Raw genomic sequence first — 16454 nt, forward strand, 5'->3', positions numbered from 1 at the left:
TGTATTTTTTAGTAGAGATGGGGTTTTGCCATGTTGGCCAGGCTGGTCCTAAACTCCTGATCTCAAATGATCCTCCTGCCTCGGCCTCCCAAAGTGCTGGGATGACAGACGTGAGCCACTGCACCCGGCTCAGCCATGTACTTTCACTGGAGCATCCGCATGCTGCTTTGCATATGGTATGTAGTCAGTTAGAACTTGTTGAACCGAATTGAATTTCGTTAGAACTTGTTGAACTGAATTTAATTTCGTTTCTTTGTTTTAGTCTGTGGAGTTTGTTCTCACATCCCAAAACATCACCATCATCACTCTCACTTTGGAATGGAGAAGTGAAGAAATCACAGACACTGTGTTACTACATGAAATACACATTTTTACAGCAGTGTAGATATGGATGTGGGTAATTTGTAAAGGAGTTGCAACTAAACTATTAAGCCTTATCATTCTTGTGAAGATTTGCTAAATAGTGCAGCACTAAGCAGATTCCCTTTAATAGTATGAAGAAGCAAGCCTTTATTCATTGCTCCTTTCTTTTTGCCCAATTTCTTCGATGGATCCTATCAAATTATTGCCGCTTTAGGGATTATATATATTCAATATATTATATAATAAAAGCTTTGTAAGTTGCTGAAGTGACCAAAACCCCCATTACAGCCAACAGACCTCCTTTGTCTTAAATTGGCCCAATAGGCTTATCCCATTTTGTTATAATTAACATCCTATTATATAATGATGTATAACAAAAGTTTCAATGTAGCAAATGGAGCTGAAGACTAATTACTGTGCTATTACACTGCCATTAGTAATGCTATTTGTAATTATATATCAAGAACTAGGGAATATGAATTGGTTTTCTATGTCTTACATCCACCTAGTACAAGACCCATAAAGACCAACTCTGAAATACTAGGCCAAGTCTCTGAATCTCATTGAAGTCCTTTAAGTCATTTCAGATATTTTAAAAGTCAGAAACATCTACTTGTGATAAAGCAAAGAATTATGGCTTCTATGGTTCATTAACAATGCATTCTTAATTAAACTTATTCTGATCAAAGTTTTCAGAGGCCTGCTGTTTTGTTTATACACCCAGATATTTGGAATTATCCAGATGTCTGACTTTCCACTGTTCATCAAAATGTTTCGGTATGGCATCTATAGCTTGTAAGCTGGGTCTTCTTAGCTATCATCTTTGGATTCTGCATTATTTGTGGAGTTTTATAGGTATCAAGCAGCCATTATGAAGGACCTAGGGTAGGTGACGGGGCAGACACAGGTAAATTGGGCTGATTGTATGCCCTGTTGCACCAGAATACGCATTTCCTATGATGTGCCGAGAGGCCACACCGAAATTCTAGGTAGAAATGAGCAAAACAAAGACCATCATATTGGCAAGAGTCTTGCCCTGGGCAAGCACTCCATTGGTTTCTACAGCAGCTCATACTTACTTGCACAATCTTCTTGTGAAATGTGGTTATTAATACTAATGTCATCCACAGCAATCCCACCAAGGTTTCCTTTTCCGATTTCGCCCTCGAAAATCACCTAACAAAATAAGATCATTTTCACAGTATTGAAATGCTCATCTCACATGGCAGTGTTTACAAATGCTTGTTCAGCTCCAGCTACGGCACATAAATTAAATTCATCAGATTCAGCGTAACACAGACTTCACTCATCAATCCACATTAGCTGCCTGGTGATGGTATGCACCTTCTCCTTACACTCTCTTCTTATAATACAAACTTTAAAACGGGAGAAAGCAGCAAACAAAAGGAATGATACATTGTGAAAGCCCAGAAATAGATGACACGGAAGCCCTTTGTGTTCCTTCTCAGCAAATTGGTTCTATTCCTGCAATCTAGGAGACTGTGAAATCTGCTATTAAGGTGGTTATCATTGCAGCAATATCTCAGGGTTGGGAAACACTGGAAATAATTTCGGAATAATTCCCATGTCTCATTTGCACAGCCTCCAACATATCATCTCAGCATTCCTGCAGCCACTGCCCTCCCCAGCCTTGGGAAGAGGTCATACCTGATAAAGTTTCAGAGACTTGTGGAGCAAGACACGCCCTTCCTTCCAGTGGTCACCTTGGTGTCCAATGGCCATCCAGACCAGCTGATCGTACTCCTCTGGCTTCTGGTAGCGCAGTTTGACCCTGAGTGTGCCGACGTGGGACCCAGACATGTGATACCAGAAGGTCATGCAGTGGGCAGAGTTCTGGGAATAAACCACAGGGCTCACCAGGCGAGCCACTTTGCCCTTCTGATTTTCGTCAGCTTGGGAATAGATGAAGTTGCCATCTCCTGCTGTGACAAAGAACTGTGTTAGGGAGAGTGGCCAGGATTACCACACTTTTATCTCTCTTCTTTCAAGTCTCACTAATCAAAAGCTTCCTGCGCTGAGCACCAAGAACCCAAATACGTAGTGGAAAGGGATAAGTGTGCACACTTGGGGACCTCATGGGCACCTAAGGCCCTGCTCTCAGCTCTTGCAAAATGGACATTTGATTAGGGGAAGGCTGAGTGGCACTAATTAGGATACTACTTATAATGGAATGCATTTTCATATGGACACATGCTATGCCTCAAGCTGGCATTTGCACCATCACAAGCAAACTGAAAGCAAAGTCTGTGCATAGACTGGACTGAAAACTCCTGGCTCTTAGAGAAACCTTATTTATTTATTTATTTATTATGTTAGACACTCCTGTTGCCCAGGTTGGGATGCAGTGGTGTGATCATAGCTCATTGCAGCCTCAAACTCCTTGGTTCAAGTGATCATCCTGCCTCAGCATTCTGAGTAGCTATGACTACGGGCCCATGCCACCATGCTCAGCTAGTTCTTAAAAAGATTAATTTTTTTTTTTAAGTAGAGATAGAATCTTGCTATGTTGCCCAGGCTAGTCTCAAACTCCTGGCCTCAAGCAATCCTCCCACCTTGGCCTCCCAAAATGCTGGGATTACAGGCATGATCCACCACGCTGGGCCCAAGAAACCCTGTTTTTATGCAACTTTAAGATCACACTGCGGCACCCATGTGAACACATGCATTAAATGAAATCATTGAGATGTATTTTTATTTATCATTTGAGCAGCAGGACTTCTGATTAATGAAATTTCTGTCACTATGACTGCTTGATAATCATAAACCTGTAGTTTTTCCTAATAATGTAGTAATCTTTTTTTTTATACTTTTCAAGTTCAGATTATTTTTCCCGTAGTTTGTTTTCATGGTTTTCGAATTCCTTAAACACACCTGAGAGCTTGAATCTCTACTGTGAGCCCTGCTTCTATTTGATGTGGGCTTCTGGCTCAAGGAGAGGCAAGGTTGCCTTGTTGAGGTTCATTAGAACGTGCCATTTTGGCAACTTAGACACTTGCTGAACTGCGAGGACTTTCTCTTGGCTTCGCTTTTAATGACCCCCACTGGGAACATTTCCTCCTGCCACCACCTGGTCAACACAGCTCATGTTTCACTGTTGGCTCTGCAAATAGAAATCATCTTCTCTAACACCTCACCTGATTAAGTGTGAATCTGCTGCTCGGGCCTCAGTGGGCAGCAAGAGGTTGTGTTTGTTGCCCAAGAGACTTGTGTGTTTGCAAGGTGCTTTCTCACTGTGCACACGTGGGCACATACTCCTTTCCGCTTGCCTGTGTCAACAGTGTCCAGGTGGATGTGGACGTGTTCATGGGCAGCTTCCTTTCCTTACCTGGTTGCTTATGTGAGAGCCCGCCCTTCTTCAAACCAACGGGTGGAATCATAAAGGAAGGGTGTTCACAAATGGCAGCTCTAGCAGTAGGTTTGATACTGCAGGATGAATGTCCCTCTCGCTCTCTGACCTTGCAGGTGTCCTCTGTGACTGAGCTGATCCATTCACACTTAGGATTTGTTTTGCCCACTAATTTATCAAGATGTGATTACTTGTCTGTGGGATGGTGCCATTTCACTGTGATGAATCCACCACGATGGGAAAAAAATACACCCATCGTGCCTCTGTCCCCTCAATCTTACGGAAAAAAGACTGAAATTGGCAATGCTGCTGCCATGTCTTAATCCCACTTATTGAGCTCATTGCTCAAAGTTTATTGAGGCTAGTCAGAGAATGGGTGTTAGAAAGAAGGAGAGAAGTGGACGTAGGTAGAGGGATGCTCTCCCATAGGACATCCTCACTCAACTGCACCATAATCACTTCCCATCCACAACTAGACAGTAAGTTCCTCAAGCACAGAGACCCCCTCCTTCATACCTGTATTTCCAGTGCCCAACACAGCACCTGCCATGTAACAGGGCTTCTCAAATGATGCCTGTTCAGTGCAGTAGGAGAGATGCCAGATTTCAAGAATCCTCTGCCTGAGGAAGTTCTTATGGTCCCTGCCTTCTCACACTGTGGTCTTTAAATATGCTCGTGTGGCCGGGCGCGGTGGTCCACGCCTGTAATCCCAGCACTTTGGGAAGCCGAGGTGGCTGAATCACCTGAGGTCAGGAGTCCGAGACCAGCCTGGCCAACATGACAAAACCATGTCTCTACCAAAAATACAAAAATTAGCCGGGCGTGGTGGCGGGCATCTGTAGTAGCTCCTACATAGCTGTAGTCCTAAGTAGCTGGGACTACAGCTACTTAGGAGGCTGAGACAGGAGAATCGCTTGAACCTGGGAGGTGGAGGATGCAGTGAGCCAAGATCACACCACTGCACTCCAACCTAGGCAACAGAGACCCTGTCTTAAATATATATATATATATATATATATATAAATTAAAACTGCTCGTGTTGCTCCTCTGCTTAGAATTCTTCAGAGGCTGCTCACTGCCTGCAGCCTATCCACACTTCTTCACAAAGAGGGAGCGCTGGCAGCCCCTCCAATGGACCTTTTATCCACCCCCATCCTGTTTTCCTCCTGGTCACTGCATCACCAACTTAAGGTATAGTATAAAGAACCAGCAGTGTCCTGCCAAACACACACACACACACACTCACTCACAATAAACACCCGATCCACAAACTTCTGCTCTACTCAGTGAAAATGGAAGGAATCCAATTTCATCAATTTCCTTGTCAATCTCATTAGGCAAGGAGGTAGTTCCCAAAGTCATGCACACTCTGCCTCTATCTAACTGCTTCCCATACAAAAACCTGTGCAAAGCACACCAAACATGAGCCAGTAAAATAAGCCTAGCTCAGCCGGTGTCTGAGACAGGGCTGCTTTCCTTGACCCCTCTTCCGTCATCTTTTACATGGTCCATTGTCACTGGCCTCTGCCATTGGAAGCCCTCACTGAACTGCACTGTGGTTGCTTCCCAACCATGATCAGACTGCGAGTTCCTCAAGCGTAGGGACCTCTTCCTTTACACGTGTATTTCCAGTGCCCAAGTCAGCATCTGCCCTGTAACAGAGCTTCTCAAATACCACTTGTTCACTGAACCAGGGAGAGATGCCAGACTTCAGGAATCCTCTGAAAGGAGGTACCTAGTTCCATTCTTTGAGGTCAAATGCAGAAAACCAAGCAAATGGGATGCCTTTCGATAAGCAGCAGGATATTTTACCTAGCTAGTGTTCATTTTCTTTTTAAACAACCCAATGTCTGGCTTGCAAAGTTTCACCAAATAATATTATAAAAAAAGCACCATCTACTCTCTAATGTCAGTCTATGCGCGGGAGCTTCGTGAAGGGCTCTTTTCATCTGGATCTTTTTCCCGTTAACAAGTAGTTCCTGCCTTTCAGATGTCGGGCTCACCCATCTCTCTACACAAATGATTGTGTTTCTAGAACTGCAGGGGCTCTTTCTAGTCGGAGCTGACCTGGCACAACTGCCAAGTAAATCTGGGTGGCTGAGAGAACAAAAGAGTCAAACCCTTCTGAAGGAATCGCACTTCTCAGCTGTTAATCTACGACAAGCTCTCCTTCTCTGATACTCTAACACATAAAGCACTGATATTTTCCCTTTCAAGGGTTTTATCACAGTTCTGGGTCAGGAACTCTGTCTTCATTTTCTCAATTAGCACTTTACTTCTGCAAGCCTTTTAGCTTTTGTCTCTGGCTAACATAGCTTTTAACCTCCTTTGAATGTCAGATCCTACTGAGCCATTTTGCTTCACTTTGCATCAATTTTTCCACCATTACTGCCTTCATTTTGGCTAATTGCATTTAGTTAATTTGATGCCATTTATATGTACAGTGCCATTTACAGTCAAAGTATTTTAAGTTTTCTAAAACTGCCTGTCTTAAGATTCAATTGAAAGTGTCTCAGATTTGAAGGAGTCCAATTTTATCCAATTTCCTTGTCATTCTCATTAGGCAAGGAGGTGGCTGTGGTGGAAGGAGGCCTATTCAACCTATTTAATGGTTATATTCACTGGGAGAAAAGTGAACCACAAAATGGGAAAGGCATGAAGTACCCTTGGCCCAGCCTTCAGTCCACTGACTCACTCACCCAAAGAGCCAAGATGGGGAGAATTTAATGAGATTTCCTAGCATCAGCAAATGCCCCCCTGGGGTACCTTTTGGGAAGCCACTACTTGAGCAAGCAGTGCTCTGTAAGTATTTCTGAGTGGGTGCAGAAGTTCATGGATTGGGCGTTTGTTGTGAGTGTGTATATGTGTGTGTGTGTATGTGTGTGTGTGTGCATGTGTGTTGGGCCAGACATGGCTGGTTATTTCTTTATTTTTAATTTTTATTTTTTTCTCTTTAGAGACAGGTTCTAATTCTGTCACCCAGGCTGGAGTGCAATGGTGTGATCATAGGTCACTGCAGCCTTGAACTCCTAGGCTCAAAGGATCCTAAAACAGACTCTGAGTAGCTGGGACTACAAGTGTGCGCCCTTATGCCTGGCTGATTTTAAAAAAAAAATTTATTTTGTAGTGTCAGTATCTTGCTATGTTGCCCAGGCTGGTCTCTAACTCTCTAACTCAACTGATTCTCCTGTTCTGGCCTCCCAAAGTGCTGGGATTACAGGTGTGAGCCACCACGTCCAGTCTGCTGGTCCTTTATACTGTACTTCAAGTTGGGCAGTGAAATGACTAGGTGGGTAGCAGGAAGGGGGCAGATAATAGAGTTCACTGGAGAAGCTGCCAGCTTTTTCTGTCCCCCAACCCATTCCTCCCCCACCAATTAATCTTAGGAAGAAAGTAAGGCAGGAGGTGGTGGGAGGGTTGTGATCTAGGGCATGGTGAGGTTTCTACCTGCTCAAAGGAAATACACTACACTTTCAATCTTTCCCCAGTGAATAAGAATTCCACACCGTCTTTCCCCACCTCCCCTTCAAGGGTCGGGAGAGAGCAAGCATTGTGAATTGTTTCTTTAGTTGTAAAATAAACGAGGGGACATAATATATGCTTGGACTTGTTTGAAAATAATTCAGAGTCAGGGATGACAGACATAAATTAAGTTTCCTATGATCTGATAATTGTTGAAGCAGGGTCGTGCACATAGAGAATTCATTCTACTATTTCTTTTCCATTTGTGAATATGTTTGAAATTGCCCAAAATAAGAAGTTCAGAAAAAGTATAAGATGAGGCTAGTTGCGGTGCCTCACACCTATAATCCCAGCACTTTGGGAAGCTGAGGTGGGTGGATCACAAGGTCAGGAGTTCGAGACCAGCCCGGCCAATGTGGTGAAATCCCGTCTCTACTAAAAATACAAAAAATTAGCTGGGTGTGGTGGTGTATGCCTGTAATCCCAGGTACTTGGGAGGCTGAGGCAAGAGAATCGTGTGAAGCCAGGAGGCGGAGGTTGCAGTGAGTGGAGCTAGTGCCACTGCATTCCAGCCCGGGCAACAGTGTGAGACTCCATTTCAAAAAAAAAAAAAAAAAAAAAAAGGATAAGATGAATGCTAATTCATAGATCCTTGCCCAATTTGCTGTTTTCAAGGAGGCCAATCAGTGGCCAACTTCAAGGGGCATTACTATGATTTGCCCTATGCTTCTCGCTACTAGGGAAAGAGACATTGTTAATTCTAGAAAATAATAGCACATGTGAACGCCTGTAGTAATTCCTACCCGCCCTAAATTCACAGACATTAGAAACCCTCCCAGTAACACAGCCTCGGAATCAAAGAGAATCTGCAAAGCCATGCAGCCGAAGTGAACTCTGTGATACCTGTGTGATCCTGAATGGGTCCCGTCTTGCTGGTCAACACACTCCACTTGAGCTGCACGTGATTGTCATGTTCCCAGTGGCAGAAGGTCTTGTGAGAGCCCCAGCCAAATTCACAGTTAAAACCATATGTTGGAAACTCTTCAGTGGGTGGGAAGTAAAAATAAGAGACAAGCAAAGAAAGGCAAATTTGATCATTTAGGGTCACAAAGGCCCTTGGTTCACTCATGGAAAGCACGATTTATACAACTTTATGTCTGTTTGAAAATTCCAGGAAAGCCAGGATTACCAAGAAACCAAAAGATGCATGGAGATGTCAAAATGTTTGCAAAACCACATTTAGTAATTTCTTTAAAAATCCAGCTTTAAAAGGATTATGGACTGCCTGTCAAATTGGGTTTACATAAAATCTCCAGGAAGGCTATTTTCTAAAGCACGTGTATTACATTTGCTGCACTCTCCCCATTTCCACAGTATTTAATATGAAAGCCATTCTGTTCTTGAGGATAAATCATATAAGTTGATACCCACCAATGAAAAGAATCTTAATTAGAGATTGACCCATGAAGCCTCAAAAGTGGAAAGTAACTTGGCGAAATGCCTCACCCAGGAGGTTTTCTCTATTTCCACCTCACCAGTTCATGCTTCAGGTCTTTAATGTCAGGGTTAGAATCTCTTAAGCATTTTAGGATTATTTTTTTTTCTTCCATGCCTTCTATAAGGTCGATTAATTTAAGTATAAATTTCTGCTTTTTTAATTTCTAAATTTACATATAAATTGTTCACCCGGCTTAAAACCTCAATGTAAGGTCATCTAAATCCAAAGCCCATTTCAATAGCTACCCGTTTTTACTTCTCTTTTCTTTTTTTTAATGTTCAAAAGGCTTCCTTAGGAATCTGAAAAGACAGCGTGAATGAATTCACGGGAATGACTTGCCTTGTGTGTGCCCTACAAGGTGCTGTTGGACTATGGTGTTTTTAAAACCCACAGCCTGACATTTTACACAGCCTCTTTTTGAAAGGAGCTTAACTTTTAAGTATGGGAAAAATGAAATCATTGCTACTTATTCCAAGTATGACTGTTGTTTTGGTAAACATAAGCTAACAATAAAAAAAATTCTAAAGATGAAATTCTCGGGCTTCTGCCCCCTCCTTTCGTCCTCCTATAAAGAACGAAGCCCGCAGATGCAGCTGTTTTCTCCAGTGACGAAGGGCCTTTAGGCTTGTCACTGACTTTAGGCAGTCCACGAGGTGGCAGCATTGAAACAAACAGGAAGGCGCCTGGGGCATCTGGACCGTTGAACTTAAAAATAAGCCTCAAAAGAATCCCTATGAACAATAAGGGAAGTCTGGTATTAGATGCTGTATTAGGGTCAGGCCAAGACCTTATCTCATTTTGAGCTTCTTTAACTTGCTTGTGTTTATTAACAAAGTATCTCGCCTTCTGCTCTGAGCCTTGTCTCCATGGCCCCTCCCCCAATGGCAGGAGGAATTTTAATGGGAAGATTTATTGAATAGATAAGAATGATTTACTTTGCATTTTTAGTTTATAAGGAACCCTTTTCTAGAGCTAATGTCAAATTTTGGAAGGAATCCACCATAAAAACTGTCCAAATGGAGCAGTTTGGATTCTCCCAATGATAATGTGACCTCCCAAAGGGTAGACAGAGCCAGTTTGGGAAAGTAAACTAGTAAGCTATGTGATGTGTAAAATGTGAGTACTTTCATTTAGTGCAAACAGGCTATATTTCACAGCTGTAGTGTCATCGGAGAGATATATTTCATGTCTAGTCTATCATAGCCATGAAATAGGACTTCTTAAGGCATGGGAAACCCTCTCCAAAATTTACCACTCTTTTCCGCAGCAAGATTGAATTATGTAGATGAAGTACAGTCAACTGAACGGTGACTGAATGATTGAGCAACCTTGGATGCCAACGCCCATGACCCTGAAATGTACTGTTGCATAATCTCATGTTAGAAAATGTTAATATTGGAACATGTTAATGTGTGTGTGGTTTTGATTTTTCTCCTTAAATGTACTTTATAAAACATGCACATTCAGGATAAAGAAAGCCACCCCAGCACACACAGTTCTGCCTGTATTTACTTTGTTAATACATTACATTTATTGTTTATAGAACAGAAAATGACATCATCCATTCTTTTGGCTCTTCATATTCTGATGATACCATAAAATGTAGGAACTTGGATATTTTTGAAATGACCAGGACATGGAACCGCTTTGCCTGAAAAAATGTTTCAGGCACTTCTCGCTTCAGAGAATGACAGTCTGCCTTTACCTTCCAATGTCCTTCCCCATCCTGTACATTTAACCAGGTGAACCGCTCTAAGTTTTTGTATTTTACTGCTCTTTTATCTTCTTGTCTTGATCATGTAACTTGTGGCAATTTGGTTATTTAAAGGATATGTTTTTAGATCAATGCCTTTTGTTGGGGAGGGTTATGGAGTGAGAGGTTCAATGTGGAAACTTCCAGCCTGGCTAGAAAGACAAACACACAAACCACCCATAAACATTTATAGAAAGGGAAAAGAAAGAGAGAAGGACAGAGGAAAGGAGAAAGGGAGAGAGAAAAGGAGAGAAAAAAGCAAATTAATGAATGAAACAAACATATAGGACTACTGACGTTTACGTTTTCAAAATATTACCCAAGCCCTGGCGGGGCACACAACTCTCATTAAATTCAATGGGGGTAATCCAGCTAAATCCCTTCTTGACTCTTAAAAATAGCAGGAAACAATATTCTGAACTTAAAACAAATTTACAGCCTCTGAGAGCAAGTACCAGCTGTGCTTGCCCAACCCATCTTGCCTGAAGTTGGATCATTAGCACCATATGTATGCATAAGGATTTAATTTTTATATCTGGTATTCCAAACTTCTATAGAGCAGTTTAACTCACTTGTTCATAGACTAGTCTTTCAGTCTAAACAAGCAGAGGTGCTCAGGCCCATACAATCGTAGGTGATGAATATACTCCGAACTGCTGCAGGAATGCTGGAGGAGCCTCAGAGGGTTAGAGCTCTCGCCAGAGAGAGCTAGATTAAAAATGTAAGGATCCCATCACTTGCTGGCAGAGCATTAACCAGCTTTTATGCATCTGATTACATAAAAGTATATAAATATTATATGCCCATGGAGTTTATTATATTGATGAGAATCAGCAAGATGAAATAGTAAGACTCTGAGTTGAGTCTATAATAGCAAAATGGAATTATGATGAAGGTTTTGAGGTCTCATTGACTGCTGCTTGTGATGATGCTTGAAGAATCTGGAGCCTGCAGAACAGTGTGGATCAAAGTATCAGGTGACTCAGGCCACTGGGTCAACTCTTCAGAGTTAGACCTGACCCCTGGCTTGAAGCATGCTCAAGTCCCCATGCAATATTCTGGGCATTGACTTAGCCAGAAGGTGACAATCAACAGAAGTCCTTCCAGGAAGGTCAGACAGCCCATTACCCACAAACAGAGCACTTGGAGTCCAGATTCATGACTCAGACAATGGAGAAACAGGAAAGCAAGTCAATTTGAAAAGAACTCTGCACTGACTGTGAAATGCAAACCGGACCTGACCACCCCTGATCAGTAGACCCGCGTGGTTTGGATTGAACTTGTTCAGATGGTGATAGCAACGGGTCCTACTGTTTGCAATTTGCATACCTGCCCTCTGACCACAGTAGACTCTGTGACAGGACCGACTGGCCCCTCTGAGAAGCCATCCCTTGAGTGACCTTGAGATTGTGCACAAATCAAATGTGTTAACAAAACCGCTCCTGCTCTGACAATATTGACCTTCAACATTCAGGGAAGATTACCTAGATTTGGAATCTGATAGAACTTTCCATTTTCTACACAGCTGTTGTTCACTTTTATTTTTTTTAACGATCCCTACCCCCTTTCATAGTCAAGGAGAAGAGAGATGAGATGAAACAAATTAGCTGGCGACTTCATAGTGGCTTTAATTACCTCTCTGGTAAGAGAAGAAACTGCAACAACAGCTAAAATGTTTGTTATATGATCAGAACTTCATTTGTTCACCTCACCCCTCTTCCCTATCCCAGAAAGGACATAGAGAACCAACTGGTGGTCACTACCCTTCATCCACAGAAAATCTTCCTGAGGGCTGAGAACTTTCAGGAAAGGTACAAAGAAAAGGAAAGGCACGGCTTTTTTCATGAGATACCTTCAGCTATGGGAGGTGCCTGCGCAGTCTTTGAAAGCCACATTTTACAACTTAAGATGTGTGTAGGACGACACCATTTTCTGAATTTAGGCAGTGACTCTTCTGTTTCATCTCTTGGTTTTGTAGAGGGTGTCTGGGCTGTGTGGTAGCAGGAATTTTGTCAACCTGAACATGCTACAGGGCAGCTGGGGGTTAAGTTTGACCAAAGAGAAGTTTGTTTTGCAGTTTAATCAGGTCAACAGTGACAGCGTCCTTTAAGGAAGCATACTAATTAGGGCGGCCCTTTCTACTTTCTGCCTAGCTGGGTAGTGTCATACCATAGAGGAAACATTGATATACACCACACGCCCCATTAATAAATGACTGCAGAAGCCAAGACTGAGTGAGCTTCAATAGAGGAAATGGGAGAAAGCTGGAAAACTGACCTGTTCACCTTAGTCTAATGATTAACTTTAAAGTATTTAAAACCTCTGATTGCTTATACTGACTGTTTCCCTTCATGTACGTCTGCCGGGAAGAATTTCACAGGATACTAACAAAACACAAAGGCCAGTGAGAGGAAGGCCACCGTTTAACCGTGACTGGCCCCTGATCGACAGCAAACCGAGGGCTTTAAAAGTCGTTACGCTTTTCTATTAATAAAAGGATGAGGAGGTGCTGTTCCCAAGGGTGTGCTTCTCTCTGTGCACAATTATAAACTCTGGTTTCCTGAACCCCGTTTTGTGGCACGCCCACTGGAAACACTGTTGTAAAACTGCCAACTCCATGGCAGGCAAAACTGACAAACTTTGCCTGCCTGGGTTTTGCAGGATTGGGATGAAAATAAATAGTCGGGCTGTGCTGCCTGTGAGATTTCCTTCTCCTGTAGTTTGCAAACACAATCCATGTCCTAGATGTGCTGCGTTTAAACAAAGTATGTTACTCCGTTCCTTCAGTGGAGAGCTGGGATTGTCACCATTTGGCAATTACTGATGGAGAAGGAAATCTCACTCCCTGCTGCATATACATGTGGATGAAAGGAAAGCAATATTTATGGCTCATGCTTGGAGACCAGATGCTGTGTGGCATCTCTCCTTCTAGGACTTTCAGAGAAACTGAAAGCGAGGAGCGCAGCCGCGGAGAGAAGAGAGGTACATGGAATCTGTCACATTTCGTATTTTATTTGATACCTGATTGTATGGTGCTGTCTATGACCGTGGGCTTTTCTGTGGCCAGCACAGTGGTGCCACCTGAAAAACAAAAACAGGAACATGCAAAAATAAGAAAACAGTAGCGAATATGCAGGAGAAAAATGTATGCTTACAAATGTCTATCAGAGGCAAATATTTTCCATAGAAAAATCCTTTTAATTTCAATGATAGCAATTGTTTCCCTTCAATTTTGCTCACCACAATATCAAATTCAAATAAACCATTATTTTTTTTTTTTACCTAACGCATTTCTTTTAAAAATTTATAAATAAAATAATTGTCTAAATTAACAAATGGAAGTTGTATATATTTATGGCATACAACGTGATGTTTTGGTACACTTAGTGGAATGGCTAAATCAAGCTAATTCACATATGCATTACTTCATAAACCTATTTTAGGCTTTTTTTTTTTTTTGGTGAGAACACTTAAAATCTAATCTCTTAGCAATTTTCTTTTTTTTAAATTTTTAAATTTTTTTTTTTTTTTGAGATGGAGTCTCACTCTGTTGCCCAGGCTGGAATGCAGTGGCACAATCTCGGCTCACTACAACCTCCGCCTCCCAGGTTCAAGCGATTCTCCTGCCTCAGACTCCCGAGTAGCTGGGATTACAGGCGTGCACTACCATGCCCAGGTAATTTTTGTATTTTTAGTAGAGACAGGGTTTCACCATATTGGCCAGGCTGGTCTCAAACTCCTGACCCCAAGTGATCCATCCACCTCAGCCTCCCAAAGTGCTAGGATTACAGGTATGAGCCACTGTGCCCAGCCTGCAATTTTCAAGTAGACAACGTATCCTAACACCTTTCTTTACAAAGCATCCAGAAGGCACCCAGAAATTGGGACTTCACTCCACGGGCACTCACTGATTCCCAGACGACGCATGGCACACAATTGCAACAGTGAAAAGCAAAGGCCTCTGAAAAAGCAAAGCCACCTTCTCGGTGACTTGGGTATTAAACTTGACCTCAACCTCTAAGCTTCAAATCGTTTTCCAAGGTTTCAGGTGTGTGCCTTTAGGGAAGTTGCAAGGCTAGTCCCCACAATCTATTTTAAAAACTAGAAAACTGAGGGTTTAAAGTAAGATGCTATGGTTCCTCCTCTGTTTGGCTACTGGAGCTGTTTACTTTTCTCAAGGACAAATACCCTGCCCTGTATGTGGTTTGGAGAAGCTGCAGGAAGCAGCAGGAAAAGGGGAACAGGAGAAATATTTCATAGTCCCAAGGAATTGGAAGACTGAACAAATAACACCCTGAGTGCTGTGAACTTCCAATTAGTGCAGGCCTACTGCATCTCACTGGTCAGGGGACAGGCTGTAACCTTATCTATTAAGACTTAGCTTTACCCTCTCTTCCACCTCTTTACTCACCCATTTCCCACTGTTCATCATTATACTTCTGTTTTAAAGTAGTGTTCTTAAACTTGCCCAACCATAAGAATCACCAGAATGCTTGTTGAAATTGCAGTCTCCCATCCACCTGTCCTCTCCAGACCTAAATGAGAATTGGAGTCTCTAGGTGTGAGGCTTTGAAATCTGTATTTTTTTGAGACAGAGTCTTGCTGTCACCCAGGCTGGAGTGCAGTGGCGCCATCATGGCTCACTGTGGCCTCAAACTTCTGGGCTCAAGGGATCCTTCCACTTCAGCCTCCTGAGTAGCCAGGACTACAGGTGTGCGCCACCATGCCTGGCTGTTTTCTATATATATATATATATATATATTTTTTTTTTTTTTTTTTTTTTTTTTTTTTTTGGCGGAGACAGGGATCTCACTGTCTGGCCCAGGCTGGTCTCAAACTTCTGACCTCAAGTGATCTTCTCGCTTTGGCCTCCCAAAGTGCTGGTGTTACAGGTGTGAGCCACCATGCCCAGCCAAAATCTGTATTTTTGAAAGCTTTTCAGGTGAGTCTTTTAACCCACTGAGTTTGGGAAACAGTGGTTTGCTGTTATTACGTAGGTGGTTGAGAAAGCTGTTTTTCCTTATGTCTATCCACGATGCAGATTATGGTTGGAAGTAACCTGTTATGTCCAGATACAGTATTGAACCAATTCAGGGTAAGGGAATGGGGTGGGCCCATGCCTACCATGGAAAGTTCTGGAGGTGGTTACAGGGTGCCATAATTGTGCACTTCCCAATAATATCATTCAGTAAAGATTTGTGACGATCTTTATTTGGGACAGGCCTATCTGGCAGCTCCCACAGATCAGAAATCATGTTACATATCCATAGCATGAATCAGAGGGCCATAAAATCGTGCTCTTGGAATGGTCTTAAGATTTCTAGGCTAATCAACTGCAGCACCAAGTCATGGTACCTCAGTTCTCCCAGCAAATATGCTGGATGAGTGGTCACATGTGTGCATGGCCTCAATAAGGCAGGCACTAGGAAGAAGGAATTATATGTATTATGGGTTAAGAAGGTGAATCTATAATGGCAGAATTGGAGGGAGGCCAGGATACATTAGCGTTCTGTTCCCAGTGGTCTTATAGGAGAAAGATTCAAGGTGAAAATTCGCTTTTTAAAACCGATATGCATTATCAGTTTTGCTATAGTTTGGGAGGCAAATTCCACGGTTGGGTACACACAGCTCCAACGTAAAATTTGGCTGCCTGGTGCCTTTGAGGCCAAGTGTATTATCTAATGACTTCAAAGGCATTTGCAAATGAGTAATTTCAGGGAAGCATTTTCACCTTGGCTAGCAGGTCTGGGAGAGCACATTCTACTCATTTCCATGCATTTGGTACAGTACACCTGGAATTTGGTGTGGTTTGTAAGTAACGAGCATTTCATTACAATATTTCTCCCCTCTAGATACAAGTAGGTCACCCCAGGAGAAGAAATTAAATCCACACCACCTGTGCTAAGGAACAGACAACCCCTAAAGACAGCATTGATCCCAATTTCCATGTTCTACCTATTAGGGTTAAAGCAATAACGCTCTTGGTTTGGTTTCATCACACTAAACATCCA

The 16454-nt window shown here is 42.5% G+C and overlaps 1 protein-coding gene across 18 annotated transcripts in view; it reads right to left on the minus strand.

The window, feature by feature from the left end:
• The window catches only part of NRP1 (neuropilin 1), a 157175-nt gene that overhangs the window by 6693 nt on the left and 134028 nt on the right, over window positions 1-16454 (minus strand). For 7 of the 18 annotated variants that reach the window (NR_045259.2, XM_047425977.1, XM_006717525.3 and 4 more), the window contains 4 exons: window positions 13465-13524; window positions 8096-8233; window positions 2032-2303; window positions 1443-1539 (listed from right to left, as the gene is read on the minus strand). Coding sequence is in view for 17 of the 18 variants with exons in the window: in XM_047425977.1 (XP_047281933.1) it covers window positions 1443-1539; window positions 2032-2303; window positions 8096-8233; window positions 13465-13524 (567 nt within the window). In the remaining variant the exon portion in view is untranslated. Of the gene's footprint in view, window positions 1-1442; window positions 1540-2031; window positions 2307-8095; window positions 8234-10197; window positions 10596-13435; window positions 13525-16454 lie in introns of those variants that run through there. The other 11 variants (XM_006717524.3, XM_047425976.1, NM_001244972.2 and 8 more) reach the window with 3 other exon arrangements.

The sequence above is a fragment of the Homo sapiens genome, chromosome 10 (assembly GCF_000001405.40).
Source record: "Homo sapiens chromosome 10, GRCh38.p14 Primary Assembly".
Lineage (NCBI taxonomy): Eukaryota > Metazoa > Chordata > Mammalia > Primates > Hominidae > Homo > Homo sapiens.